At 37.7% G+C, this 27,251-nt stretch overlaps 1 protein-coding gene across 61 annotated transcripts in view, besides 2 other annotated features; it reads left to right on the plus strand.

The window, feature by feature from the left end:
• Positions 1–27,251, plus strand: part of CEP63 (centrosomal protein 63) — a 296,836-nt gene that overhangs the window by 33,646 nt on the left and 235,939 nt on the right. For 60 of the 61 annotated variants that reach the window (NR_148355.1, XR_007095732.1, XR_002959589.2 and 57 more), the window contains 5 exon segments: positions 12,476–12,571; positions 13,409–13,531; positions 17,786–17,899; positions 26,217–26,450; positions 26,780–26,919. Coding sequence is in view for 49 of the 61 variants with exons in the window: in NM_001353113.1 (NP_001340042.1) it covers positions 12,476–12,571; positions 13,409–13,531; positions 17,786–17,899; positions 26,217–26,450; positions 26,780–26,919 (707 nt within the window). In the remaining 12 variants the exon portion in view is untranslated. 61 annotated transcript variants of the gene reach the window in all.
• Positions 7,605–8,105: an enhancer, noted in NCBI's record as "H3K4me1 hESC enhancer chr3:134245816-134246316 (GRCh37/hg19 assembly coordinates)". NCBI's record gives its function as "activates a minimal SCP1, AML or CMV promoter by ChIP-STARR-seq in primed H9 embryonic stem cells {active_cell/tissue: H9 hESC(primed)}" and the evidence as "EXISTENCE:reporter gene assay evidence [ECO:0000049][PMID:30033119]".
• Positions 7,786–7,845: a silencer, noted in NCBI's record as "silent region_14753". NCBI's record gives its function as "represses an Ori minimal core promoter by ATAC-STARR-seq in GM12878 lymphoblastoid cells {active_cell/tissue: GM12878}" and the evidence as "EXISTENCE:reporter gene assay evidence [ECO:0000049][PMID:35858748]".

Here is a 27,251-nt window from a genome sequence, read left to right on the forward strand (position 1 = left end):
GTGATCTGCCCGCCTCAGCCACCCAAAGTGCTGGGATTACAGGCGTGAGCCACCACGCCCGGCTGAATTGAATTTGTTATTGAAAAACCTGCTCATAGATAAATCTCTTGGGCCCAGTAGACTTCATTGGTGAATTCTACCAGACATTTTAAGAAATAAGTAACATGAATTTTATATAAAATATTCCAGAGAACAGAAGAAAAGATAAGATTTTCCTAACTCCTTTTATGAAGCATCATAATCTTTATTTCAAAACTTAACAAGGATGTAGCAGTTAAGGAAAATTACAGGCCAGTCTTATGTGAATGTTAATATAAAACTGTTAGTCAAAATATTAACAAACTAAATCCAGCAATATTTAGAAATTACATACTAACTTAGGTTTATTCTAGTCATTCTGGGTTGTTTCAACATTCATAAATCAACATAATTCATCATATTATCAGAGGAAAAAACACCATAGTTATCTCAATCCAGGAAAAGAATTTAATGAAATTCAGTTATCCATTTGTGATAAAAATATTAAAATCCCTTAGAAAATTAGAAATGTTAAGGGAATTTCCTTAATCTAGTAAAATGGTATATAAGAAACATAGCAAGTAGCAATTAATGTAACCCATTGTTAGAAGCTTTCCTTCAGAGATTGTGAATGAGACAAGGATGCCCAGTATCACCACTTTTTTTGTTGTTGTTATTGTAGTGGAGGTGTAGCTAGTGCAATAAAGCAAGAAAAATAAATAAAAGACATAAGGATTAGAGAGGAAGAAATACCACTGCAGTAATTAGCACATGCTTTGTTGGTGTACACAGAAAACCCAAAAAATCTATGTAGACAGAATTAACAAATGAAATAGTAGATTTGCTGAGTTAAAGGTTAATTTACAAAAATTTATTGATTCTTTGTACCAGCAAAAAGCAATTAAAAATGAAGTTAAAAAAGATACCCTTGACAAGAGTATCAAAAAAGCACCAAATAGAGTAAATCCAATGAAAGAGGTATAAGACCTCTGCACAGAAAGCTCTAAATTATGGAGAGAAATTAAAACTGATATAAATGGAAGAATAGATGTTCATGGATAGAAAGACTCAATATTTTAAAGGTATTGGTTTCTCCAATTTTGATCTATTCAGTATTATTCTAATTAAAACTCCAGTATATTTTAAAGTGAAAATCAACAAGGTTGATTCTCAAATTTATATGGCAGTAGCCAAAACAATCTTGATGAAGAGAAATTAAGGTGGAGCACTTAGGGTACTAGAAAACAAGATTTATTAAAAACTATATTAAGACAGTGTGGTATTGCAAGGATAGAAAAACAGACCAATGGAACAGAATAAAGAGTCCCGTAACAGAGATCCCACATATGTGAACATTTGATTCATGACAAGATGACACTGCAAGATGGTGGGGAGTCTTTTCAATACATGTCACTGGATCAACTGAGTAACAATATGGGGGAAAAAGAAAGATTTTGACTTCTAGTTTTATACCATATACCAAATTCAATTCTAGATGGATTACGAATTTAAATGTGAAATGCTGAAGATTTTCTAGAAGATGACATAAGAGAAAATCTTAGTGCCTTGGAGTAGGGAAAGATTTCTTAAAAAATAGTGATAAAAGGTTACTAATTTAGACTATATTAAAATAATGAACATTTCATATATTTACAACATACAACCAACAAAAGATAAAGAACATCTATAAATTAATAAGTTAACTGAGTAGAAAAATGGGCAAAAGACAAATAGTCATTTCACAAAGGAAGATATCAAAATGACCAGCGAGCATGTGAAAAGGTGCTTGGTTTCACAGGTTACTAGGAAAATGCAAATTACAATCACAAGATAACCCTAAACATACACCAGAAAGGCTAAAAGTTAAAAGACTAATAATACTAAGTTACTATAGGGGTATGAAACAGCTCAGTATTTTATCAAAAAGAGTGCTGTACTTTTCTGTGCAAATATTTACTTTCAATTTAATTTTGTTTTAAAAAGCAACAGTCAATTCCCATTTTCAGTAGTAGAAGATACACATTTTGTGTATTTTTTCCCATGGGTATTCTGGATTGTTCCCCCGTTGGGCCTGGAAGTTTGGAAATGGTTGAACATGACTTAGCATGTTTGCTTTCTGCTTTAAACACTAAAAGTCCTTGTCTTTTCACATTTTACATTTATGCAAAGTACATTTGTATTTTTCTCCTTGCTTATTTCTTTTATATTAATATATTCTGTTTACATGCATAATTTTTCCCACTTTGTTTTATTCTAGAACTCTTGTAGTAGGAAGTACTAGAAGATCTGTGAATATCTTAGTCTTGTTACCTTCATTAACAGCTAATATTCTCACTTCTGTTTAATGATCAGTGACTTAGTATTGCATAAGAATCAATAGTCCAATTAACTAAATTGAAGCGCTAATTTCTCCCTTTCAGTGTTACTGAAGTTTTATTTTCTGGGAGGGGGATGTTGAATTCCACATTATTGTTTTTAGTGTTTTTTCAGAATCATTTTTCCAGAATACTTTTTACCTTTTTGAGGATGGACTTTTTGCAGTGCACTTTAACTGTATAGAGTGTGCAAATGACATTTCAGCTGGACTTGGGGGAGCTGTTCTGGCATTTTGGTTTGCAAATCAAACATGCACTCTCTTTTAGTCTCTTTTCTTTGTATTTCTTCTCATTGTTTCTTTTGGATCTGGTACTGTCATCTGCATTTCTTCATTAATTAACAAATTTGCCTGGAGATAATTTTTACTGCTCCTTGTCTTAAAAACATTTTACTTCCTACCTTTCTCCTTGTCAATAAACAGGATATATGTAATTTGGGATTTATCTAATCTGTTAGTGATGGATGAAAAGACTCAAAGTGCCAAGAGATCAGGAAAATTCAGATCAATCCAGGCAGGAGGAATCATTAGGTGTGACTCTCAGAAGGACAGGGATCTTCAAGTGGGTCACAGGGTCAGACTGGCAAAGCGTTTTCTTCTGGATGTGGGTTCACAAGGGATATAGGTGATTCTAGTGAAAGAAGAGAGCCAAATGAGAGTGATTGTGAAGCGTTGTAGTCAGAAATGTGATTGTTTTTCTTTTTTTAAAATTTAAATTTTATTTTAAATTCAGGGGTACATGTGTAGGTTTGTTATATAGGTAAACTTGTGTCGTGGGGGTTTATTGTACAGATTATTTCATCACCCAGGTATTAAGCCTAGTACCCCTTAGTTATTTCTTTCCTGATTCTCTCCCTTTACCCTCCAGTAAGCCTCAGTATGTTGTTCCCCTCTATGTGTCCCATGCGTTCTCATCACTTAGCTCCCATTTATAAGTGAGAATATGCGGTATTTGGTTTTCTGTTCCTGCAAAAGACGTGATCTCATTCTTTTTTATGGCTGCATAGTATTCCAATGTACCTCATTTTCTTTAGTCTACCATTGATGGACATTTAGGTTGATACTGTGTTTTTGCTCTTGTGAATAGTGCTGCGGTGAACTTACGTGTGTATGTGTCTTTCTGATGGAACGATTTACATTTTTTTGGGTATATACCTAGTAATGGGATTGCTGGGTTGAATGATATTTCTGTTTTTATATCTTTAAGGGATCACCATCATCTTCCATAGTGGTTAAACTAATTTACACTTCCACCAACAGTGTATAAGCGTTCTCTTTTCTCTGCAACCTTGCCAGCATCTGTTATATTTTGACTTTTAAATAATAGCCATTCTGACCAATGTGAGATGGTATTTCATTGTGGTTTTGATTTGTGTTTCTCTTAAGATCAATGATGTTGAGCATTTTTTTATATGATTGTTGGCTGCCTGTATGCCTTCTTTTGAAATGTGTCTGTTCATATCTTTTGCCCAGTTTTTAGTGGGGTGGTTTGTTTTTTTCTTGTAACTTTTAAGTTCTTTATAGATGCTGGATACTAGTCTTTTGTCAGATGCATAGTTTGCAAAAGTTTTCTTCCATTCTATATGTTGTTCACTCTGTTGATAGTTTCATTTGCTGTAAAGAAACTCTTTAATTAGATCCCATTTGTTGACTTGCTTTTGTTGCAGTTGCTTTTGGTGTCTTTGTCGTGAAATCTTTGTCTGTTTCCATGTCCAGAATGGCATTGCTGGGGTTGTCTTCCAGAGTTTTTTATAGTTTTGGGCTTTACACTTAAGTCTTTAATCCATCTTGAGTTAATTCTGTATATAATACAAGGAAGGGGTCCAGTTGCAATCTTCTGCATGTGGCTAGCCAGTTATCCCAGCACCGTTTATTGAATAGGGAGTCCTTTCCTTATTGCTTGTTTTTGTCAGTTTTGTTGAAGATCAGATAGTTACAGGTGTGCAGCCTTATTTCTGGGTTCTCTATTCTCTTCCATTGGTCTATGTATCTGTTTTTGTACCAGTGCCATACTGTTTTGGTTACTGTAGCCCTGTAGTATAGTTTGAAGTTGGGTAGTGTGATGCTTCTAGGTGTGTTCTTTTTCCTTGGGATTGCCTTAGCTATTCAGGCTCTTTTTTGGTTCCATATGAATTTTAAAATAGTTTTTCCTAGTTCTGTGAAGAATGTCATTTGGTAGTTTAATAGGAATAGTGTTGAATCTATAAATTGCTTTGGGCAGTATAGCCATTTTAATGATACTGATTCTTCCTTCCATGAGCATGGAATGTTTTTCCATTTGTTTGTGTCATCTCTAATTTCTTTGAGCAGTGTTGTATATTTTTTCTATAGATTTTTCACCTCCCTGGTTAGCTATATTCCTGGGTATTTTATTCTTTTTGTGACATTTGTGAATGGGATTGCATTCCTGATTTGGCTCTCAGCTTGACTGTTCATGGTGTATAGCAGTGCTGTGACTTTTGTACATTGATTTTATATCCTGAGACTTTGCTGAAGTTGTTTATCAGCTTAAGGAGCTTTTGGGCTGAAACTATGGGGTTTTCTAGATAGAGGATCATGTCGTCTACAAACAGGAATAGTTTGACTTCCTCTCTTCCTATTTGGATGCCCTTTATTTCTTTATTTTGCCTGATTGCTCTGGCCAGGACTTCTAAAACTATGTTGAATAGGAGTGGTGAGAGAGGGCATCCTTCTCTTCTGCTGGTTTTCAAGGGTTTCCAGCTTTTGCCCATTCAGTATGATATTGGCTTTGGGTTTGTCATAGATGGCTCTTACTATTTTGAGGTGCGTTTCTTCAGTACCTAGTTTATTGAGAGTTTTTAACATGGAAGGGTGTTGAATTTTATCAAAAGCCTTTTCTGCATCTATTGAGATAATCATGTGGTTTTTGGCTTTAGTTCTGTTTATGTGATGAATCACATTTATTGATTTGTGTCTGTCGAGCCAACCTTGCATCCTAGGGATGAAGCCTACTTGACTGTGGTGGATAAGCTTTTTGATGTGCTGCTGGATTTGATTTGCCATTATTTTGTTGAGGATTTCTGCATCAATGTTCATCAATGATATTGGCCTGAAGTTCTCTTTTTTTGTTGTGTCTCTGCCAGGTTTTGGTATCAGGTTGATGCACAACCCATAGAATGGGTTAGAGAGGAGTCCCTCTTCCTCAATTTTTTGGAATAGTTTTAGCAGGAATGGTACCAGCTCTTCTTTCTACATCTGGTAGAATTCAGCTGTGAATCCATCTGACCCTGGGCTTTTTTTGGTTGGTAAGCTATTTATTACTGATTCAATTTCAGAACTTGTTATTGGTCTGTTCAGGGGTTCAGTTTCTTCCTGGTTCAGTCTTCGGATGGTGTATGTGTCCACGAATTTATCCATTTCTTCTAGATTTTCTAGTTTATGTACATAGAGGTGTTTATAGTATTCTCTGACGTTTGTTTGTATTTCTGTGGGGTTAGGGGTGATATCTTCCTTATCATTTCTGATTGTGTCTATTTGAGTCTCCTCTCTTCTTTATTAGTCTAGCTGGTGGTCTGTTTTAATTTTTTCAAGAAATCAGCTTCTAGATTTGTTGATCTTTTTAATGTTTTTTCATGTCTCAGTCTCCTTCAACTTAGCTCTGATTTTGGTTATTTCTCATCTTCTGCTATGTATGTCACTGCATGTGAGATGGGTCTCTTGAAGACAGCATACCAATGGGTCTTGATTCTTTATCCAGCTTGCCATTCTGTGCCTTTTAATTGGGGCATTTAGCTCATTTGCATTCAAGGTTAGTATTGATATGTATGGATTTGATTCTCTCATGATGATGTTAGCTGGTTATTTTGCAGTTTTTTGTGTGGTTGCTTTATAGTATCACTGGTCTGTGTACTTTAGTCTGTTTTTGTAGTGGCTGTTAATGCTCTTTGCTTTCCATATGTGGTGCTTCCTTCAGAGCTTAGTTTGGCCAGATAATGAAATTCTGGGTTGAAATTTCTTTTCTTTAAGAATGTTGAATATGCCTTCAATCTGTTCTGGCTTGTAGGGTTTCTGCCAAGAGGTCTACCATTAGTCTGATATTCCCTTTATAGGTGACCTGATCTTTCTCTCTGGCTGCCGTTAACATTTTTTTCCTTAGTTTCAACCTTGGAGAATTTGATGATTATGTGTCCTGGGAATGATCTTGTGAAGTATCTTACTGGGGTTCTCTGCATTTCCTGAATTTGAATTTTGGCCTCTCTAGCTAGGTTGGGAAAGTTCTTATGGATGATATCCTGAAATATGTTTTCCAGATTGGTTCCATTCTCCCCATCTCTTTCAGGGACACCAATGAGTTGTAGATGTGGCATCTTTACATAATCCCATATATCTTGGGGGTTTTATTCATTCCTTTTCATTCTTTTTTTCTCTATTCTTGCCTGTCTTATTTCAGAGAGCCAGTCTTCAAGCTCTGAGATTCTTTCCTCTGCTTGGTCTATTTTGCTATTAATACTTGTGATTGCATTATAAAATTCTTGTGGCATGTTTTTCAGCTCTATCAGGTTGGTCATATTCCTTTCTATACTGTCTATTTTGTCTGTCAGTGACTGTCTTATTTCAGAAAGCCAGTCTTCAGGCTCTGAGATTTCTTTCCCCTGCTTGGTCTGTTTTGCTATTATTACTTGTGATTTCATTATGAAATTCTTGTAGTGTGCTTTTCAGCTCTATCAGGTTGCTTACATTCTTCTCTATACTGCCGATTTTGTCTGTCAGTTCCTGCATTGTTTTATCATGATTCTTAGCTTCCTTGGACTGGGTTTCAGTATACTCCTGTAGCTCAGTGTTCTTTGTTCCTATCCATGCTCTGAATTATATTTCTGTCATTTCAGCCATCTTAGCCCAGTTCTGAACCCTTACTGGAGAAGTGATATGGTTGTTTGGAGGAAGGAAGATACTCTGGCTTTTTGAGTTCTTGGAGTTCTTGCACTATTTCTTTCTCATCTTTGTGGGCTTACATTCCTTCAATCTTTGAAGTTGCTGACCCTTGGATGAGGTTTTTTTTTTTCCTTTTACCATATTTGATGACCTTGAGAGTTTTATTGTAGTATAAGGTGGATTCAGCCAACTGGCTTTGTTTCTGGAAGATTTTCGGTGGCCATTGCTCAGCCCCCAACTCCTAGACTGTGTGCTCTAACTCTGGGGGGGCTCGTATTGGGCCCCAACTTTTTTCTCTGGCTCCTTGAAGTTAGGAATCCACTGCATTGGGGGGTCAGAGTGCTCCCAGACCACTAGTCACTACACCACAATGGGTGGTGGCAGCCAAAGCATTTCATAGTGTGGTGACAGTGGGATTCATCCTTGTTTACATGTGCCAGCAGCAGTGGTAGCAGCAGTGCAGTGGGGGACACACTTGTCAGCTATGCCAGGGTGCTGGTGGGTGCCAGGGTGCCTGCCTCCCTGAGAGCATTCACCACAGTGGAGGAGGCAACACAGCTGGGAGGTGAGCGGGGACCCCTGCTGGCGACTGTGCACAGTGGCACTGGTGGTGGTGTTGGCTTGGGGGCAGGGCGCTGGCAGTTGCAGGTCTGTGTGCCTTCTCTGTGTACTGCAAACAGGAGTGGTTGCTCCATGCAGGGGAGGATCTGTTATTCTCTGTGCCTAGTTTCACTCCTGCGGCAGTGTTGGTGCAAGGAAGGGGCACTGGTGGAGGCAGGGCTGGCTGGTTTGGTGCCCACCAAGGTTCTGTCTGCAGTGGTGGTCAGTGGGGACATGGGAAATGAACTGCACTCCCGCCACAGCAGTGTCAAGGTGGATACATGTACACTTGCCTGCTGGTGGGGCAAGAAAAGCAAAACCTGCCGGCATAGGCACATGCCAGCAAAGCCATGTGGGGAGTTGCTATGGGCCTAGGGAAGCTGCAGTATGGGGACTGAATGTACAGGCTGGTGCATAGCCATGGGGGCCACTCTGCTGGAGCTCTCTGCTGGTCAGGCATAGTCTGCCAGCACAGAAGCTATGATGCAGTCCCCCAGGCCACCCAAGGCTGCCCTGTAAGCATGTGTGGCCAGGCTGGGGCCCTGGGAGAGGCCAGCAGGCCAAGGGGTGGTCAGATGAGACCGGCCCCATATGATGGACAAGACTACCCTGCAGAGTTCGGGTCCAACAGTTGCCTTAGAGCTAAAGTCTCCTATGGGTGCCAGTTAAGCCTAAGGGGATGGCTATCCCTGGCCATGCCCCACCACAGATTCTCTCACACCAAACCCTCTGGGCTCCATATCAGCTGGCTTGCTGCCCCTATCACTTCTCTAAGTGGCTCACCCTGTCAACTTGAGTGTTCATGGTGGGCGAGAGGTTCCAGAGGCCCGTGGCAAGAGTGGGTTGCTCCTTGCTAGTTCAGCTCACTTGTTTTTCCAGAGCTGTTTGGGCCAGGAATGAGTCCAGGTGCGTAGTCGCCTCATGTATGGTTCCCAGCTTCCTCCCCCTTCAGCCCAGCTTCTGTGTCTTCCCTCCATCCACTCTTCAGTGACCCCCTCTGAAGATCTGTTAGGAGCACACCAGTTGTCTCAGTCCCTCATTGGCAGCTTTTCCTCCTGGCTGTGTCTAGTCAGCCATCTTGCCCTCCCCCTGGTTTTTTTCTCCCCCGTTCTTTGTCTTCAATTTTTAAAAACCTTGGTCAAAGAACTCTTTAGGCTAAGTTTGAGAACTCCGTAGTCAGCTTCCATGCTGTTAGCAGATCTTATGAAATCATTTAAAGTTTTTATAATTCTGCAGGTGGGTCTTGTCTAACATGTGATAGAGGGCCAAAAGGCCACACTACTGAAAGCTTAAGGAGGGGTGTGTGTGTGTGTGCGTGTGTGTGTGTGTGTGTGTGTGTGGTGTTTTGAGGGTTGCCTTTTCTCTTGGTTGTGGTATGTTAGGAGTAATGGCTGTTACATACTGATGTGCTTGATGTGCTTTGTCTTTACGGGTTATAGCAGTGTAGACATGAGTCTCCTTTTGGGATAATCTGTTTCCCTTTTTTCTTCTGTCTTTGCTAAAAGCTATTGCTCATTTCTGCTGAGCATTGCAGTTACCCCTTCTACCTACCATACTTTCTAATTTTGGATCTTCTGGTGGATTGTGGGCTAGGAAATACGAATAGTTAAGACTCTTCAACTTGTTTTAATCAAACAGATGAGTCCTCATGATCTTTATCAAAGCAAAGTAGGTGGGCTTAGGGTCAGCCTCTTTTCTTTTCTTTTTTAAAATGTTCTTTTCTTGCTAATAAAAGCAGTAGCCATTGGAGAAAATTTAGAAAAGACCAACTATGAAGCAAAACATAATCATAATACCTTGAATCAGAGTTAATCTGTATTAACATTTGGTGTATTTCCTTTAAGCTATGTAAGTAGACTTCAGTAAAAATCCTTCACAAAATTGGGATTTTAGTATAGTATACTTTTTATATCGATATGTCTTTTAAATGGTAAGCATTTTTCATGTTAACTATTTTAATACAGCTTAATGTTTGCATATTTTATTATGTACATTCATTCATTATATTCATTCACAGTTTATTTATAAACATACAGATTTTTTCCAATTTGTCCAGTTTTTATAAAAGAACAAATCCCCATTGACTTTTTTTTTTTTTTTTTTTGAGACTGAGTCTCACTCTGTTGCCCAGGCTGGAGTGCAGTGGTGCCATCTCAGCTCAGTGCAACCTCCACCTCCTGGGTTCAAGCGATTCTTGTGCCACAGCCTCCTGAGTGGCTGGGATTACAGGCACCTGCCACCAGGTCTAACTAATTTTTGTATTTTTGGTAGAGATGAGGTTTTGTCGTGTTGGCCAGGCTGGTCTCAAACTCCTGAACTCAAGTGATCCGCCTGCCTTGGCCTCCCAAAGTGCTGTGACTACAGGTGTGAGCCACCGCACCCGGCCCCAACAAATTCTTAACATCTACATTTATTTTCTTCTTTTCCTTTTTTGTAGAGAAAGGGTCTCACCATGTTGCCCAGGCTGGTCTTAAACTCCTGGGCTCAAGCCATCCTCCTGCCTCTGCCTCCTAAAGTGCTGAGATTACAGGTGTGAGCCACTCTACCTGGCTCTACATTTATTTTTTTTACATGGATTTCTAAAAGTAGTGTTTACCAAGTCAAGGTTAAGAAATTTTTTTTTTTTTTTTTTTTTTTTAGACGGGGTCTTGCTCTGTCGCCCAGGCTGGAGTGCAGTGGCACGATCTGGGCTCACTGCAAGCTCCGTCCTCTGGGTTCACACCATTCTCCTGCCTTGGCCTCCCGAGTAGCTGGGACTACAGGCACCCGCCACCACACCTGGCTAATTTTTTGTATTTTTAGTAGAGATGGGGTTTCACCGTGTGAGCCAGGATGGTCTTGAGCTCCTGACCTCGTGATCCGCCTGCCTCAGCCTCCCAAAGTGCTGGGATTACAGGCATGAGCCACCGCGCCCAACAAGGTTAAGAATATTTATAAGTGTTTTAATATCGACTCCCACATTGCTTTCTGGAAAAGTCATGTGCTTTGTATTTCAGCACTTTATGGGTCTTTGATTCCAGATAACTTACCCGCACAAGTTTCGTTTTATAAGATCTTTGCTAATTTGATAGATATAAAATGCCATTGGATGTTTTCCTCTGATTGCTAGTGAAATTAAGCCTTTTTTCATGTTTATTGGACATTTATATTTTTGTGGGAATCATTCTTGTCCTTGAGTTATTTTTCTGTTGAGAGCTTAATACTTTTTACAAATTTGTAAGTCTTTTGTGTACTAAAAGTTAAAAGCCCTTTGATTTTTTTGTAAATATTTTTCTCAATTTATTTACCTTTTAATTTTGTTAATTGGATTTTTTAAAAATAGAAGTTTTACATGGTTAAATTTATCATTTTAAAATTACTTTTTCATTAGTTTTAAGCTCAGAAAATTTCCTTTCATCCAGAAATTCAGTTACATCATTCACTTACATCTTTTTTTAAAACTAGACTTTTCCATTTTATTGGCTGTATTTACCCATTCTTCCAGTTTGAACTTTAGAATGACTTTTTCAAGTTTCTTACAAAAATAAATTCCACTATAATTTTTTATTGGAATTGCATTTAGTCCTCATTCTTATAAGTAGCTTATTTCTAGTACTTTAAAAAAATTTACTGTTGTAGATTGTGATTGTTTACTCCCTTGTGTTCCCTGTTTTCCCTCTCCCTCCCTACTTACCAGTAGATGAAATTCTAGCTGGTTATTAAAAGAAATACTGCTGGATACTTGTGGAGGTGAAGGCTTGGCAGAAAATAGGTGTCACTGGTATCAAATCATTGAAAAGTGGGTTAGGATAACTTCCTTACCATGGTTGGTGGAACTCGTTTCTCTGGAGTTGGGTGAATGGTAAAGCAGGCACAAACCTCCTTTTGTTTTCCTGTCTGACGTTACTATTCTGTACTTTATTGTAGAGAAATTATTCCTAAGGTCTTCTAGATTTTTTATGAAGTATTGTTGGTTTCCAGGACTCTCAACACTTTATATTTCTTATTTTCATGAGTTTTTTTGATGAAAAGGGTTGAGTAGGATAATCAGACAGAGAGACACAGTTTCGGCCGGGCGCGATGGCTCACGCCTGTAATCCCAGCACCTTGGGAGGCTGAGACAGGTGGATCACGAGGTCAGGAGTTCAAGACCAGCCTGGCCAAGATGGGGAAACCCTGTCTCTACTAAAAATATAAAAATTCGCCAGGTGTGGTGGCATGCGCCTGTAATCCCAGCTACTTGGGAGACCGAGGCAGACAATTGTTTAAACTTGGGAGGCAGAGGTTGCAGTGAGCCAAGATTGCACCACTGCACTCCAGCCTGGGCGAGAGTGAGACTCCCATCTCAAAAAGAAAAAAAGAAAAAGAGAGAGAGTCTTCATCTAAACCTAGAAATTCTAAAAACTAGCTGTTTGTTCACTATTTTTTGGCAGTGTAAAGAATTCTTAAATAACTAGGTATTTGACTTCCTAAGAAGTGGGGTATCACCATATATATGCATTTGAGAACTTGAATTTACAAATAAATACAGAGATTATTTTCTATTTTTATATCTCAGGGATGTTATTTCAATGCTAATAGTGAAAAATACTACCACCTTTCTGCTTTTAGGTTGGAATGTTGCATCAGCAGGTAGAAGAACATGAAAAAATCAAGCAAGAGATGACCATGGAATATAAGCAGGAGTTGAAGAAACTACATGAAGAAGTGAGATTTTAGTTTTGTTAAATGTTGTGTGTGTAGTTCTCTCTCTTTCACCCTTGAGAACTTTGTTAATGAAAGCCAGTTTCTACTTTGTAAAGTGGGAAATACATACTCCATCAAAGATACAGGAGTGGGAATCCATTTCTCTGTTCTTTAATCCAGGTAAAGAGGTTTGCCTAACTGTAGGTTTGATACTACCTAGAAGAGATGCTAAAATATGTTTCTTGGTTGAGTACCTGAAAGAAATAGAGCTGTTTTTATGTAATACTGTGAAATACTTGATACCAAAAATTACATTTAATATTTTAATTTTTATCAGTTACTAGATTATAAATAATGGAGGATCCAAAGATTTAAGAAACATTTTGGGATAAATAAGACAAGTAAGAAAATTCTGTCCATTAACTCAATTTTATTCTTCAGATTTGGAAAAAACTGCTTTTATTCTGATTTAATTGCAAAGTACTCTTCTCCTGCATCCTGAATATCAGTGCCCTGCAAGAGCATGGCTTGAGAATCACAGACCTAGAGGAAAGAAAAAGAGTTTTTATTTGCTGCTTTATTGTGGGGCTGGGTGGTAGGGTCTTTAAGTGCAGGGCTATTGTAATACAAAACTTTTGTTTAAAATTTTTTTTAAAATTTTTTCTTTGAATATATTTCTTTAGTAGTGTTTGTTTTACATATTTAATTTTTAGTTTCCTTTTGTGTTTTAGTTTGGAAATCTAACATGTTCTCAGTAGTACTGGTTAGCACTGCTCTTGTTTTCATAATACCAATTTGTCTCACCACTACTTCTTACAAATTCTTAAACTTTAAATATAGAAATAACTGTTTCTACAGTTATGCATACTGAAGAGAAGCTATGAAAAGCTTCAGAAAAAGCAAATGAGGGAATTCAGAGGAAATACCAAAAATCACAGGGAAGATCGGTCTGAAATTGAGAGGTTAACTGCAAAAATAGAGGTATGTTCATAGTAATAATTTGTTCATAGTGATTGTCAGCCTTCACGTAGGAAAATGCGGTTTCTAATGGCACTATTTTCTGGAACCAATTTTCTACTATCTTAAGGACTGCCACTAAGCTATTTCAGAGGTGAGAGGGTGATCCACCATACATCCTATCATCATCTAGTTCCCTGGGTTAACGGGGTTACTGGCCATCAGTAATTCTCAACAGGGCAGTACCACCCTTAGGGAGCATTTGCAAATGTACGGAGACATATTTTTTTGGTTGTCAAAATGACTGAGCTTAATAAAACTGGCATTTAGGGGACAGGGACCAGGGATACTAAACATGCCTAAGAGTGTTCCACACAGGAAGGATTATTGTACCTCAAATGCCAGTAACTCTCCAATTGGGAAACATGACCACTAGTTATAGGCAGTCCTCTATGGACATTGTTCTTGTCTTATATATCATTGTATCTCAAGCACCTAATAAAGTGGGGGCTTAGTAAATGTGGAAAGTACATGGCACTTTTCGTACAAAGTAATCTCTGTATCAGATTATTCTCAATTCCCATTTAGATGTAGTAAGGCATTCACTTCCTTCTCTGCTGACTTTGTTTTTATTAAGACTGAATAACTCCATGATTATTGTATATATTGAGAACTTAAGGGGAGCTGGTGAGCTAATAGTACCAAGAGTAGATGAAGGAAGAGCACAAGGCTGTCATTCTCTTCGTCTGTCCTTGCCATTAGTTCTTCACTGGACATAAGAATTCCCAGGGTGCTTTTAGGCTCTCAGAAATGCTGATCCAGCAGTATGGCATAGGACCTAGGGATCTGCATTGTATCCAGCTCCCCTAGCTTATTCTGATTTGAGAAACATTGTTCAACATCTTTGTGTGATCACTTACAAGTTTGTACTCTGGGTGACCTGTCACCCACAAATGCCAGTATATTATTATTACTTAAAATTATAATTTCTGTGTTTAATATTCCTTTATATCTCAATATTTTTTTACATTTGAAGAGCTTAGAATCAGAAGACTGCAGCTACTGCTTCCCTTCCACCCTTTTCGGCAATACCTTTTCCCCCCAAACCCTATATCCTTCTTGCTTCTCATTGCCACTTCCTGACTATTCTCTTTTCTTTCTACCTCAAAAACCCCATCTTTGATTTTCATGTTACCAGCCTATACTGCCAGCCAATGAACATAACAACCAAAATAGTCATCGTCTGACCTCTGGGTTATTTCCTTGGCTCATTGATTTCAGCACCCAGCTCACTGTCAATTCTCTCTGACATTACTCTTATCATAACTTTGAGGATCTTAGGATCTGGAGAGATGATGCTTATAATACTCTGACCTTACAGTTTCTTGGCTTTCTTTCCTCCATAGATAGTTTGATTATCTTTGTGTCTCATCTACTTATTCCCACTGCCATTCCTTAGCTCTTGTCATTACCAATATATGCCACCCCTCTAGAATCTCATTTTCAAGCATTCAATTATCAGACTACCAATCCCTATCTTTTCAGCTAACTCTCTCTAGTCCTTTGACTCTCAGTAATCATTAACCATCCCTTAAAATGATTAAATTCTGCCACCTTTTTACTGCTCCATTATCTACTTGGTGTTCTCACTTATCGGTCCTTAGCCAGCTTTTAAATTCTGTCATTACATTTTTTACTTTCCCCTTCATCTCCTGTGCTCCTCTCTTGCTTCCTCATATTTGCTTGGCAGAATCACAGTTCTGCTTAAGTCCACCTTTCTGCCCACTCTCTACCTGTCATGTATCGCTGAACGTGGCTAGAGAAAAACCTAATCATACTGTCTGTTCTCACTTTAAATTCATGGTCACTAACCTCAAATGGGTCCTAATGCTACCTGGAATCATACTGTATTTCCTCTCATCTCCTACTTTCCACAATGAGTATTTCAGACTTCTGCTTTTCTCCTCAAACTCTCAACACCTTTCCCCACATCCTCACCTTTGGGTTATATCTTCCTTTCTGTTTATAGACTTCCAACTCTTGTGTCCACCCACCTATCTGCATCTGTGCCCATGTACCCTGCCTTCCTTCCTGGAGGAACTACGCATGCCCTCCCCCTTTTCTACCCAAGGCATTACCTTAGCAGTTCACCTTCTCTTTTCTGCACCCTTAATTTTTTTTCTCTACTGGATATTTTTTACCAGCATCCAAATTTCCCTCCTCTTAAATATCCTCTCTTGACCCGTCTCTTCCTCCTCTGCCCCATTTTATTTCTTCCATTTTATAACTAAAAAATTACTTCAGTCATCTATACTTGTCTCCAGTTCCTCTTGTCTCATTGTTCTTGTACCCACTCAATAAGGCTTTTGTCCCCTCACACTGCAGAAGCTGTTCACATAGAGGTCACCAGTGACTTCCACATTCCCAAAGCCTGTGGGCTGGTCCTTATCTTCCTCATCCTACCTACAGCTTTGTAGGAGAGCTGGTCTCTCCCAACTCCTTAACCACTTTCTTGACTTGGCTTGAGAAAAACCACATTTCTCTCATTTTTTCCTTGTTCATCACTCCTCAGTCTCCATTATTCCTTAACCACCTAGGGTCATGTCATTGGACCTTTCCTTTCCTTTTTTTTTTTCCTATCTACGCTCACTCCCCTATTGATCCCATTGAATTTCATAGCTTTAACACTGTGTATATGCTGACAATTCCTAAATTTATATATCTAGCCAAGACCTCGCCTCTTCATGACAGAATAACTTTCAACTGCCTGTTTCCTATCTCCACTATGATGTCTAAAATGTGTCAAACTTAACATGTCCAAGCTAAAGGTCCTGTCTTTCTCTTCCTCATCTCCCCAACACTGATTCATGTTTTAGTTGATAACAACTCAATTTGCTCAACCTAAAACCTCGGAGTCATCCTAGACTTCTCTTTTCTCAGCATGATAGCCAGAATGATTCTGCTGTAATGTAAGTCAAATTATATCACTTCCTATACAAAAACCTTCCAGCAGCTTCTCTTAAAAATCTGTTATCCTAATGGCCTACGTGGTCTCATTCCCAGTTATCTCTCTTACCTTGTCTTCTCCTACTTTCCCTTTCATTCACTTTATTCCAGCCACACCAATTTCCTTTCTCACCCTTAAACACACCAGGATGCTCTTATTTCAAGGCTATTCTTTCCACCCAGAATATTGTAACTTCACCCTCATCTCCCTAGGTGTTTACTTAAATGTTTTTCACTCAGTCTGGCCATCCCTTTTAAAAATTACAACCCCAACTGTGAAGACTTCATGCTCTGTTTTCTCCAAAACGTGTATTACCATCTGCTATACCATACAAGAAATGTGTCATCTGTTGCCCCCAGTTGAGTAGGACTAGGGTTTTTGTTTGTTTTGTTAAGTATTGTATCCCTGACTCCTAAAGCAGTACCTGGCATATATAGTAGAATGATTGAATGAATGAATGAATATCAGAAATTTGGTTAACAACACTTATCTTAAGGAGCCTGAGACTTCTGGAGTTGAGGGTCCTGGAAGACAGTGATAGAAAGATTGAGTTTCCTTTCCCTTTGATTTGCCCCATTTTCATAAATATTGAAATCACTTTCTTGATCATGCAATTTGATGTTACTATTGATCCATCATTAATTTTGAACTGTTTGGCTTTGGGTTACAAATATTTGTTAAAATTTGGTACAGATTTTCTTTGTTATTCAAACTTTTGCAGTTCCTCTGTTGAGATAATACAAATTTGGATATCAAAGGATATTGTGTTATCTGAATCTACTTGGTTCCTTAGTTTTAGATACTGGGAAGTAAGATTTGGGTTACCAAGGGACTTATCTGAAAATTTAATCTGTTCAATTCCTGGGTCTGGATATCAAGAATTTGGATAGCGAGGGATATCTGTAATCATACTTTAAAATTTTAGTTATCTTAGCATCAGTTTTCTGAAAATTCACTAGAAAATTATAACAACCCTTAGGTGGCAGCAAATCAGTGAAAAACATCTGAATCCAGTGCTTAACATCTGCGTGTCATACTCCTCACCATCAGGGTGTTAAATTTAGAAAGACAGATATCCAGAGGCACAGTATGTGAGGAAGTTAGTATTACTCTCCAGCTCTGTTAGCTGAGTGAGTAATGGGGCTCCCGCTGTGGAGAAAGGTGCAAGCGTACCCAGGGACATGGGGAGAAATTAAAGTTAAAGGGAGTCTGGGAAGTAGTGACAGTGAGGAGAAGCACTCAGAAATTAAGTACTCTAATTGCCTCCTCAGGAATTCCGTCAGAAATCGCTGGACTGGGAGAAGCAACGCTTGATTTATCAGCAACAGGTATCTTCACTGGAGGCACAAAGGAAGGCTCTGGCTGAACAATCAGAGATAATTCAGGTAGGCCTAAGACTTTTTAAAATAATGAGAAGCAGATAGGTTTTGATCAAGTTTGAACTACCTTAATGCAGTGTCCTAGTACCATTTAGCCTCTTTCAGCTTCTCTCCACGAACCCTGCTCTCTTGTTTAGGAAGCCTCTCCTCAGCATCTAGACTCAGCTCCTTCTTCCCGCCTGCCCTCACACATGCGTGCATTCACTCTCCTGTCCAGGCTCATGTCCTTGTGCCCGCTTGCTGCTTTGCCTCCTTGCTTGTTTCTGACTTGCTCACCCACTCTCTGTCATTGTCTTGCTTACTCAGGCTCACTCTATGCTTGCATCCATGTTCACTCTCCTCATCTTGGTCCCTAGCTTTGTCGCCCTCTCTTCCTCCCCTCTCTTTCTTCCCTACCACAGTCCCATTCCTCCCTCTGTCTCCTTTTCCATGTCTTTCTGTCTCTTGTTGGGTCTCTCAGCTCTACTATAGTCTGTGCCTTGCTCCATCCCTATGGTCACTGGGGTATCTTGGCCGAAGTGTCTCAGCTAGGGAGCTTCAGTTAGTCTGCCTATGCGGACAGATACGGAGAGAGTCACATGGCAATGGTGTGCACACCAACTAAAAGTGGTGTCTTTGTGGTAACAAAAACACTTATTTTAGAACATTGATAGAAACTTTTCTTGTAATGGCTTAAGCAAAACCAAAAAACAGACACCTACTTTAGGAATATGTCTTGTAAGAACATATTCAGCTCATTCCTTTTTCAGTTAGAATCAAGAACATAAAGGAAACTAAAAAAATTTGTGATCATCTGTTATGTGCTAGACATTGACCCAGTGCTTCTTGTATGTGTTCTCTGTTTAATATTATGATAATCTGTCAAGGTTGGTAGTTATCTTAGTTTTATAGAATGAGGGAACAGCCTGGGTAAGTTGAAATAGCTAGAAGGGAGGGTTTTTTTTTTTTTTTTTTTTGGCTTTTTGGGTTTTTAAAAATAATCTGCATTTATTTGCTATTTTAAGTCTCAATAATGCATTAACTTTTTGTTCGTCTCCCTGAAATATCAGCAGTCTGATAAACTACCGACAGTGGCTGTGGCTCTGCTGTGAGTGACTTCATTCAAAATGGTAGGAAAAGTCCACAACAATTGCAAGGAAGAAATTTATTTTCTAGGCCACAGCAAGCTGTGCAGCCAGACAGACCAGTGAAATCCTGAGATGTCTGGACCAGTTTTTTTGACTTGAATGCCAAAGCACCATAGAGACCTAATAAGAAATTGTGTGTGTGTGTATATATATATATATATATATGTATATATATATTTTTTTAACAACAAAAAATTTTTTTTGGTTTTCTTGAGATGAGGTCTTGCTGCATTGCTCAGGCTGATCTTGAATTCCTGGGCTCCAGCAATCCTTCCACCTTGGCCTCCTAAAGTGCTGGGATTACAGGTGTGAGCCACCACACTTGACCAAGATATTGTTATATTCTAGTTGTAGCCTTCAGATTGACAAAAAAGCAAATTGAGTCTTAATTTTTACAGTTCTCAATTATTTATCCATGGAGTATTATTGATTATAGATTCTCTCTTCAAATTACTGTTATCCTATTTCATATTACTGTTGTGATTATTGACTCTATGTAATTAAAACTTCATTATTAGTAAAAATGGGATTTTTACTTACTGTAATTCAGCTAGGGCTAGGGTAAGAAGCCTTTCAACAGCCAACATTTGTTTTTCCTACTAAGGGTGTTTGAATTAATTCTTCTGATAGTTTTGTTTAACCTAAAACTGTCTGATTGTTTAATAAAAATGTTACATATAAATGTATTTATCCTTCTCCCTTAGCAAACTAAATAAAATTAAATCTTTCAGTGATTCAGTATATACCAGTGCTGTATGATCATCATTTTTTTAAACATCTAAATAAACTTATCTATATCCATTAAGTAGCATTAATAGTTGTCATCATCTTGTCAATCTTTATTTTAATTATGGTAAAATACACATAAAATGTTCCACCTTAACCATTTTTAAATGTATAGTATAGTAATGTTAACTATATGTACACTGTTGTGCAACAGATCTCTAGAACTTTTTTATCTTGTCAAACTGAAACTCTATACCATTCCCTACTTCTTATTTTTGGGTGGAATATTACAGAGCAAATCATAGATATCATCTTATTTCCCAACAGGTAAGGACTTAAAAAATAACAATATATCAGTATCACATTAATAGAATAATAACTTCTTAATATAATTTAATATCCAGTCTGTTCACATTTCTCCAGTTGTCCAGAAAACTATCTTTTTACAATTGAATGTTTGAGTCAGAATCCAGTCAAGGTTGATGTATTGCATTTGGTTGAAAGGTGGGTCACCATTGAACAATGACAGTAGAAAACCTGGGAGGCTGAGTAAGTGGATATTAACCTACCCTCCATTAAAAAAAAATCTCTGTATAATTTTTTTCTTATATGTTTTTAACATCTAAAAGTATAATTCGGAAACAACTTCTCCTTCTTTGACATATGTTTGCTTGAATTCATTTCTTTTAATCAGCTATTAAAATTACATAATACATGCTTATTTTAGAAAAATGAGAAAATGCGGATAAAATGAGAAATAAATAAATCACCCATAATTCTACCGTTAAGAGATTTACGATGAATAAAATTTTGGTGTAAATTTCTTCTGACTTTGTGTATGCTTACATACAGTGTGCAGTACATTCATGTACTTTTGATAGGAAAAACCTATATGCACTGTGAATGGGAAAGGAGGGGTAGTTGCAAACTTTAAAAAGTCCTGAGAGTAGCAAAGTGTTGATAATTTTTGAAGCTGTGTGATAGGGGTTCATCATCTTACTCTCTCTATATTTGTGTATGCTTGAAATTTTCCATGAAACAATAACTTTAAAATATATAGAATGCTTACTAAGTGACAGGTACTATGCTAAGCACGTCACAGCTTTAAAATTTTTCCTTTTTAAATATGACATGTCAACAGATTTGTAGTCATAATGATTGTGTAGAATTCCCCCCTATCGTTAAATGTATAATGACATTTGTAACCAGTCCCTTATTGTAGAACATTTAGTTTTTTACTTTTCACTTTTGTAAATAGTGCTTAGATTAACATCCTTATATAAACATTTAGGAGTATTTATTTTCTTAGGAAATGGCCCTAGAATTGGATTTACTGTATCAGAGTACCTTCAAATATTTTAATATATATTGCCAAAGTTTTCTCCAATGATGGATTGATAGACTTTCTCTAGCAGTATGTGAGAATATCCATTTCCTCATACTTTCCCCACATTGAGCGCTATTATTTCTTTTGACTTTCCCCACTTTTAGGCTTGTCTTTGCCAATCTTATAGGTGAAAAAAAATGATACCATTGTTTTAATATACATTGTTTTAATATGAGTGAGGTTGAGGACTTTTTTCATCTGTTTATGGCCATCTTCATTTTTCATAAATTATTTGTGTCCTTTATTCACCTTTGTTTTAGGATTTTTTTTTTTTTTTTTTAAATCTTAATTTATTTTCTTTTTTGAGATGGAGCCTCGGTTGCCCAGCCTGGAGTACAGTGGCCTGATCTCGGCTGACTGCAACCTCTGCCTCCCTTCAAGCAGTTCTCCTGCCTCAGCCTCCTGAGTAGCTGGGATTACAGGTGCTCACCACCACGCTCAGCTAATTTTTGTATTTTCAGTAGAGACAGGGTTTCACCATGTTGGCCATGTTGGTCTTGAACTCCAGACCTCAAGTGATCTGCCCACCTTGGCCTCCCAAAGTGCTAGGATTACAGGCGTGAACCATCGCACCTGGCCGGATGTTTATATTTTACTATTCTGAAAGAGCTTTCCATACACTTAAGTATGAAATATAAGCCCTTTGCTATTATGTTACAGTTGCGTATGTGTACTCAATTTACCTTAATTTTTGCCCAGTATTTTTTATGGAAGTACAATTGTTTTATAAACAGTTAATTAGAATTGCTTAATTCTATCAATTTTTTGTTCAGCGTTTCTATCTTTGATATCATACTATAAAGTCTTACCTAAGTCAAATTTCTTCTAATGCTTTATCATTTCTTTTTAATACATTTTATCTAAAAATTACTTTAGTGTAAGGTATTTGATAGGAATCTAAATTTGTTTTTTAAATGGTTATATAATTTACTGACTATTACATTTTCAGGATTGGACAAAATGACTCTAAAATTCATATGGAATGATAAATGAACGATACTAGCCAACTTTTTTTTTTTTTTTTTTTTTTGAGACGGATTTTCGCTCTTGTTGCCCAGGCTGGAGTGCAGTGGCACAATCTCGGCTCGCTGCAACCTCCGCCTCCCAGATCAAACGATCCTCCTCCTCAGCATCCCAAGTAGCTAGGATTACAGGCGTGCACCACCATGCCCAACTGATTTTGTGTTTTTAGTAGAGATGGGGTTTTACTATCCTGGTCAGGCTTTTCTCGAACTCCTGACCTCAAGTGATCCACCCGCCTCAGCCTCCCAGAGTGCTGGGATTACAGGTGTGAGCCACTGCGCCTGGCCACCAGCATTTTTTAAAAAGGAGTAATGGGGGGATGTTTGTTCTATCAAATATTAAAATGTATTTTATTAAAAAGTACAGTTGTTAAACTGTAATGCTAGATGTAACAAAAGAGTCGTGGTTATATAGTATAGGAAAAGGATCAGTACAGTCTAAAACTAAGGTCATTTCTGTTTAGAAGGCTACTTTTTCTGTTGCCTACATAATGCAAAGGAAATGTTCAAGGAAATCTTAGAGAACAGTAAGAACATTTGAAAAAAATTAAAATATTAAGCCAACATAAAATGTAAAATATTTAACTGATAAACAGTATGTGAAAAAAGTAGAGGTTGCTCTATGTTTTCCTTTTGAAATACTTAGATGAGCTGTAAAATATTCTTCAAGTTAATTTTAAATCCACTGTTAATTATATGTATATAAATATATTTATACGTATATATGTTGTATTTTTAAAAGCATCCTTTTCCTGTCACAACTTTTGAAGAAAAAAATGACCCTAACTCAAATGTTGATCTGTTGTCTTGGTAGAATTATCAGAGTTAATTGAATTGGCTTAGACCTACTGTTTAAAAGTTCGTAGTAGCATAGACACAACAGTGATAAGAGAATCTTACTAGGAGCTGTGTTGTTAATAGGCTCTTTAGGCTGCTCTCTAGTGGAAATGCTGTGAGGCTGTGGCCTGCACTGGCGCATTTGGAGTTGACAGTGATGGGGAGCTTGGTAAGGGATTGATGCTTACAATGGCCGTACCTTCATACTGGGATTCTTTGGAAAATAAAAAGCCTTGTTGCTTCATATCACATTGTTCATAGTAATCTCACTCTCTGGGAGAGTCATTTTCTTGAAGCACCAGGAAGTAGCTATCACAAATCCAGAAGAGGATTTGAATTCAACCCCCACTCCCCAATTTCTTCTCCACTCTCTTTCACACTTTAGCTGGCCACACTGGCCTTTTGTTTCAGTTTCAGTCTCCCTGATGTAAACTGCCTTCTTGATTGCTTCTTTACTTTTAACCACCTCTGCTGTGATTTGTATTGTTGAAATAACTTCTACCCACTCCAATAGAATGCTAAATGTTAGATTAATAAGAGGAATGCCTGTTTCTGGCTCAAAGAATTAGTGGTTAGTGCAAAAAAAAAAAAAGTTTAAAAATATGCCAGCCTTAAAATACCTCTAAAGCCAGATAATTATCAGAAATAATCATTATTTTAGAAGTTTTTAAATAATTATTTCTGACTTTCTTAGTATTGATGAAGTGTTCTTGAGATTAGTGTAGTGCTAATAGATATTGGTGAGTCACATGTAATTTAAAATTTTCTACTAGTCACATTAAAAAGTAAAAAGGTGAAATTAATTTTAATAATATATTCAACTCAATATGTCAGAAATATTACAACATTTACTTTACATTTTTTTAATGAGTCTTTGAAATCTTCAACTGAATTTGTATTTTACGGTTAAGAGCACATCTCAATTCAGATTAGCCACAGTTCAGTTGTGCAATATCCGCGTGTGGGTGACTGCAATGGTATTGCAGCCCTAGTGCATTCTAGGCAATGAAAATTTAGAATTTGTACTTGAGTTGATTAATGTACTTTTCACTATGCTTAAAAAACACTGTATTTTTGTGTGACCAAAATAGTAAATCAGTGAAAGAAGGTTATGTTCTCCATTCTTCAAAACTGAGAAGTTTATTAGTATTTAGCAAATCTAGACTCACTGGTTAAAGTATGCCTTGGTTTAACTATTAGTTTATTATATCAATACTGAGTTTAAGATCACAGATTTGAGTTGATAGTGTTAGGTAGCTATTACAGTATTAAAAAGATAGTGTTTTGCAATTATGTATTATCTGAGTGCCCATTTTGGCAGTGGGTTTCTAGTTGTGTTTTGCTGAGACCCAGGGCTGCTGTACAGATTAAGGGTAGGACTAAGGGACATTTCAGCAAGCTGGGCTCTAACCCTTTTCTCCTTCTCACCCTCACCCAATATCTGCATTTATTTATTCTGCACAGGAAACCTTTCCTCTTTGAAAGAAAAGTTTATATTATATTTAAAAGTTTGGAGACAGTTCCATGCTTAGCAGTTGTTCTAGTGAATCTAAACCTAAATGTTGATGTTCTTCCTTTATACCATTGTAGGGATCTGGTTAAAAAAAAAAAAAGGCTCTTTGCACTGAAATCTTGATCGGTAATTTATACAAACAGTATTTGTCTATCTCTTCACCTCTCTCCTACCCTCTCTCTGGCTTATGGGAAGTTTTTAGCATCTACTTTATTTGACTACAGTATATAGTACAGGATTTGGACCTGTACTGTAAATAATAAAATCTTTAAATCTGCAATAGATAGATTTCCCAGAGATATTTCTACTTGTATTTCTAAAGTAAAATTGTGTGATTTTACCTTTAGAAATATTTCGAGTAAGGGAAGTTTACCTCTACAGATTATTTATATTCATCTTCAATGTGTAGATGAAGTACCAGCCAGGATGCTGGATTAAAACTTGTAAAAACTAAAAAGTTTGGAGCTAAAACCCAATACTGCTGGGATGCATAGCCTAAAACATAGTAGTCAGTAAACGTATCATTCAGAGAAACCAGTTTGAGATGCATTATATTTGTTTACCTCTTTTAACTCAGGAAGTGTCCAAAAACTGATGACAGAACCAATCTCTCCTCCCTTATAAGCACCTTTTCCTCCAATAAACAAAAGACCACAATTTCCCCATTTCTCTGAATTTAAAGAGCATTTTATGGTCACGATGACTAATCTAAATATGAATGTTTATAATGTTAAAACAGAATAATTACAACATGCTCTAGGTGGGGGGGGGAATTTAAACTACAAATTTAGTGATTTTGAAATTCTAATTTCTAAACTTCCATCAGAAATATAATAATGCATTATAGTTCCTATTTCCTATGTTTTAAATAGGAAATAATTCCAGCCAGGTTGCGGTTGAATTTCTGTGTGAGTAGGTAGAATACTGTAGCATCTCTTCTCCTGAGGAATCCCTTTACTTTATCCATTCTTTTCTATTTATTTATTTATTTGAGACAGGTTCTTACTTTGTCACGCAGGCCGGAGTGCAGTGGTGCGATCTTGGCTCACTGCAACTTCCGCTTCCTGGGTTCATGTGATCCTCCCATGCCACTGTGCTCGGGTAATTTTTGTATTTTATTTGTTTGTTTGTTTGTTTTGAGACAGAGTCTCATTCTGTCACTAGGCTGCAGTGCAGTGGCGCAATCTCGGCTCACTGCAACCTCCAACTCCCTGGTTCAAGTGATTCTCCTGCCTCAGCCTCCCGATCCCGAGTAGCTGGGATTACAGGCACGCGCCACCACGCCCAGCTAATTTTTGTATTTTTAGTAGAGACGGGTTTCACCATGTTGGCAAGGATGGTCTCAATCTCCTGACCTCATGATCCGCCCACCTCAGCCTCTCAAAGTGCGGGATTACAGGCGTGATCCACTGCACCCGGCCAATTTTTGTATTTTTTATAAAGACAGGGTTTCGCCATGTTTCCAGGCTGATCTCGAACTCCTGAGCTCAAGCGATCTGCCTGCCTCAGCCTCCCATAGTGTTAGGATTACAGGCGTGAGCCACCACTCCCAGCCTCTCAATTCTTTCTTACCCCTTCGCAATATATATATATATATTTTAGTGAGCCAATGCTTTATGTTTTTATGGAAATAATAGTTTCATTTTAGTCTTATTCATTGATTATTTTATCATTTCCCTTTTACCTATTGATTGATAGTCTGTGTTTCTAGGCTCAGCTTGTCAATCGGAAACAGAAATTAGAGTCTGTGGAACTTTCTAGCCAATCAGAAATTCAACACTTAAGCAGTAAACTGGAGCGGGCTAATGACACTATCTGTGCCAATGAGTTGGAAATAGAGCGCCTCACCATGAGGGTCAATGACTTGGTTGGAACCAGTATGACTGTCCTACAGGAGCAGCAGCAAAAAGAAGAAAAATTGAGGGAATCTGAAAAACTATTAGAGGTATGTTTTAAAATCACTATAATTGGGGGAAGTGTGTGTATGAGTATTTTAAGAGAGTGTTATTAAGCTAGAACTAGGTTCTACAATCCATACTTTCTTCCCTACTTTATAAATGATGGATCAGATATTGATAGTTTTACTAATATTGTGACTTTATTACAATATTTACAATATTGTAATATTGTTACGTAACTTATAGTCTGACTTCCTGGCTTCTCGTGAAATAGAAAAATTGTAATAATAGCTGGCTTAGAAATTTCTGAGTATTTTGCAGGTTCTGCAGGAATTAAAAAGAAGGAAAATTATAATCATATTTGACTTTTTTGCAGGCTCTGCAGGAAGAAAAGAGAGAATTGAAGGCAGCTCTTCAGTCTCAAGAAAATCTCATACATGAGGCCAGAATACAAAAGGAGAAGTTACAAGAAAAAGTAAAGGCAACTAACACTCAACATGCTGTAGAAGCTATAAGGTAAATTTAATCTTAAATATTATTCATCTTAGCCACTTAATGACTAGGTATTAAGCACTAGGCTTATTTTTATTTTTATTTTTATTTTATTTTCAGATAGTCTCCTGTTGCCCAGACTGGAGTGCAGTGGTGCAATCTCAGCTCACTGCAACCTCAACCTCCGAGGTTCAAGCCATTCTCCAGGCTCAGCCTCCCAAGTAGCTGGGACTACAGGTGCATGCTACCACACCTGGCTAGTTTTTTGTATTTTTAGAGACGGGCATTCATCATGTTGGCTAGGCCGGTCTTAAATTCCTAACCTCAGGTGATCTGCCCACCTCAGCCTCCCAAAG

Source organism: Homo sapiens, chromosome 3 (assembly GCF_000001405.40).
Source record: "Homo sapiens chromosome 3, GRCh38.p14 Primary Assembly".
Lineage (NCBI taxonomy): Eukaryota > Metazoa > Chordata > Mammalia > Primates > Hominidae > Homo > Homo sapiens.